Source organism: Homo sapiens, chromosome 11, assembly GCF_000001405.40.
Source record: "Homo sapiens chromosome 11, GRCh38.p14 Primary Assembly".
Lineage (NCBI taxonomy): Eukaryota > Metazoa > Chordata > Mammalia > Primates > Hominidae > Homo > Homo sapiens.
The window spans coordinates 55,329,242-55,333,353 of NC_000011.10; positions in this window are offsets into that span (position 1 = coordinate 55,329,242).

Sequence of the window (4,112 nt, forward strand, 5' to 3'; positions counted from 1 at the left end):
TTTAATTACATGTGCCAAATCTTTTGGTTATTTTTTTTCTTTTTTTAGGGTTTTTTTTTTTAATTATACTTTAAGTTCTAGGGTACATGTGCACAACTTGCCGGCTTGTTACACAGATATACATGTGCCATGCTGAGCAACTGCACCCATCAACCCATCATTTACATTAGGTACTTCTCCCAATGCTATCCATCCTCCTACCCCCCACTCCACAACAGGCCCTGGTGTGTGATGCTCCCCACCCTGTGTCCAAGTGTTCTCATTGTTCAATTCCCACCTATGAGTGAGAACATATGGTGTTTGATTTTCTGTCCTTGTGATAGTTTGCTGAGAATGATGGTTTCCAGCTTCATCAATGTCCCTGCAAAGGACATGAACTCATCCTTTTTACGCTGTATAATATTGCATGGTGTATATGTGCCACATTTTCTTAATCCAGTCTATCATTGATGGACATTTGAGTTGGTGCCAAATCTTTGCTATTGTGAATAGTGCCGCAGTAAACATATGTGTGCATGTCTCTTTATAGTAGCATGATTTATAATCCTCTGGGTATATACCCAGTAATTGTATTGCTGGGTCAAATGGTATTCCTAGCTCTAGATCCTTGAGGAATCACCACACTCTCTTCCAAAATGGTTGAACTAGTTTACAGTCCCACCAACAGTGTAAAAGTGTTCCTATTTCTCCACATCTTCTCCAGCATCTGTTGTTTCCTGACTTTTAAATGATTGCCATTGTAAATGGTGTGTGATGGTATCTCATTGTGGCTTTGATTTGCATTTCTCTGATGACCAGTGATGATGAGCATTTTTTCATGTGTCTGTTGGCTGCATAAATGTCTTCCTTTGAGAAGTGTCTATTCATATCCTTTGCCCACTTTTTGATGGGGTGGTTTGATTTTTTTCTTGTAAATTTGTTTGAGTTCATTGTAGATTCTGGATATTAGTCCTTTGTCAGATGGGTAGATTGCAAAATTTTCCTCTCATTCTGTAGGTTGCCTATTCACTCTGATGGTAGTTTCTTTTGCTGTGCAGAAGCTTTTTAGTTTAATTAGATCCCATTTGTCAATTTTGGCTTTTGTTGCCATTGCTTTTGGTGTTTTAGACATGAAGTCCTTGCCCATGCCTATGTCCTGAATGGTGTTGCCTAGGATTTCTTCTAGGCTCTTTATGCTTTTAGGTATAACATTTAAGTCTTTAATCCATCTTGAATTAATTTTTCTATAAGGTGTAAGGAAGGCATCCACTTTCAGCTTTCTACATATGGCTAGCCAGTTTTCCCAGCACCATTTATTAAATAGGGAATCCTTTCCCCATTGCTTGTTTTTGTCAGGTTTGTCAAAGATCAGATGGTTGTAGATGTGCAGTGTTATTTCTAAGGCCTCTGTTCTGTTCCATTGGTCTATATCTCTGTTTTGGTACCAGTATCATGCTATTTTGGTTACTGTAGCCTTGTAGTATAGTTTGAAGTCAGGTAGCATGATGCTTCCATTTTTGGTCTTTTGGTTTAAGATTGTCTTGGCAATGCGGGCTTTTTTTGGCTCCATATGAACTTTAAAGTAGTTTTTTCCAATTCTGTGAAGAAAGTCGTTGGTAACTTGATGGGGATGGCATTGAATCTATAAATTACCTTGGGCAATATGGCCATTTTCACAATATTGATTCTTCCTATCCATGAGCGTGGAATGTTCTTCCATTTGTTTGTGTCCTCTTTTATTTTGTTGAGCAGTGGTTTGTAGTTCTCCTTGAAGAAGTCCTTCACATCCCTTGTAACTTGGATTTCTAGATATTTTATTCTCCTTGAAGCAATTGTGAATGGGAGTTCACTCATGATTTGGCTCTCTATTTGTCTGTTATTGGTGTATAGGAATGCTTGTGATTTTTGCACATTGATTTTGTATCCTGACACTTTGCTGAAGTTGCTTATCTACTTAAGGAAATTTTGGGCTTAGACTATGGGGTTTTCTAAATATATAATCATATCATCTGAAAACAGGGACAATTTGACTTCCTCTTTTGCTAATTGAATACCATTTATTTCCTTCTCCTGCCTAATTGCCCTGGCCAGAACTTCCAACACTATGTTGAATAGGAGTGGTGAGAGAGGACATCCCTGTCTTGTGCCAGTTTTCAAAGGGAATGCTTCCAGCTTTTTCCCATTCCGTATGGTATTTGCTGTGGGTTTGTCATAAAGAGCTCTTATTATTTTGAGATACGTTCCATCAAAACCTAACTTATTGAGAGTTTTTAGCATGAAGTGCTGTTGAATTTTGTCAAAGGCCTTTTCTGAATCTATTGAGATAGTCATGTGTTTTTGTCTTTGGTTCTGTTTATATCATTGATTACATTTATTGATTTGCATATGTTGAACCAGCCTTGCATCCCAGGGATGAAGCCCACTTGATCATGGTGGATAAGCTTTTTGATGTGCTGCTGGATTCAGTTTGCCAGTATCGTATTGAGGATTTTTGCATCAATGTTCATCAGGGATATTGGTGTAAAATTCTCTTTTTTTTGTTGTGTCTCTGCTAGGCTTTGTTATAAGTATGATGCTGGCTTCATAAAATGAGTTAGGGACGATTCCCTCCTTTTCTATTGATGGGAATAGTTTCAGAAGGAATGTTACCAGCTCCTCTTTGTACCTCGCATAGAATTCGGCTGTAAATCCATCTGTTCCTGGACTTTTTTTGGTTGGTAGTCTACAAATTATTTAGAGACTGTTATTGGTCTATTCAGGGTTTCAACTTCTTCCTGGTTTAGTCTTGGGAGGGTGTATGTGTCGAGGAATTTATCCGTTTCTTCTAGATTTTCTAGTTTATTTGTGTAGAGGTGTTTATAGTATTCTCTGATGGTAGTTTGTATTTCTGTGGGATTGGGGGTGATATCCCTTTTATCATTTTGTATTGCATCTATTTGATTCTTCTGTATTTTCTTCTTTATTAGTCTTGCTAGTGGTCTATCAATTTTGTTGATCTTTCCAAAAACCAGCTCCTGGATTCATTGATTTTTTGAAGGGTTTTTTGTATCTCTATCTCCTTCAGTTCTGCTCTGATGTTAGTTATTTCTTGCCTTCTGCTAGCTTTTGAATGTGTCTGCTCTTGCTTCTCTAGTTCTTTTAATTGTGATGTTAGGGTGTCAATTTTAGATCTTTCCTGCTTTCTCTTGTGGGCATTTAGTGCTATAAATTTCCCTCTACACACTGCTTTGAATGTGTCCCAGAGATTCTGGTATGTTGTATCTTTGTTCTCACTGGTTTCAAAGAACATCTTTATTTCTGCCTTCATTTTGTTACGTACCCAGTAGTCATTCAGGAGCAAGTTTTCACTTTCCATGTAGTTGAGCAGTTTTGAGTGTTTCTTAATCCTGAGTTCTAGTGTGATTGCACTGGGATCTGAGAGACAGTTTGTTTTAATTTCTGTTCTTTTACATTTGCTGAGGAGTGTTTTACTTCCAACTATGTGGTAAATTTTGGAACAAGTGTGATGTGGTGCTCAAAAGAATGTATATTCTGTTGATTTGGGGTAGAAAGTTCTGTAGATGTCTATTAGGTAGGCCTGGTGCAGAGCTGTGTTGAATTCCTGGATATCCTTGTTAACTTTCTGTCTCGTTGATCTGTCTAATGTTGACAGTGTGGTGTTAAACTCTCCCATTATTATTGTGTGGGAGTCTAAGTCTCTTTGTAGGTCTCTAAGGACTTGCTTTATGAATCTGCATGCTCCTGTATTGGGCGTATGTATATTTAAGATAGTTAGTTCTTCTTGTTGAATTGATCCCTTTACCATTATGTAATGGCCTTCTTTGTCTCTTTTGATATTTGCTGGTTTAAAGTCTGTTTTATCAGAGACTAGGATTGCAACCCCTGCTTTTATTTTGTTTTCCATTTGCTTGGTAGGTCTTCCTCTATCCCTTTATTCTGAGCCTATGTGTGTCTCTGCATGTGAGATGGGTCTCCCGAACACAGCACACTGATGGATCTTGACTCTTTATCCAATTTGCCAGTCTGTGTCTTCTAATTGGAGCATTTAGCCCATTTATATTTAAGGTTAATATTGTTATGTGTGAATGTGATCCTGTCATTAAGATGTTTGCTGGTTATTTTGCTCGTTAGTT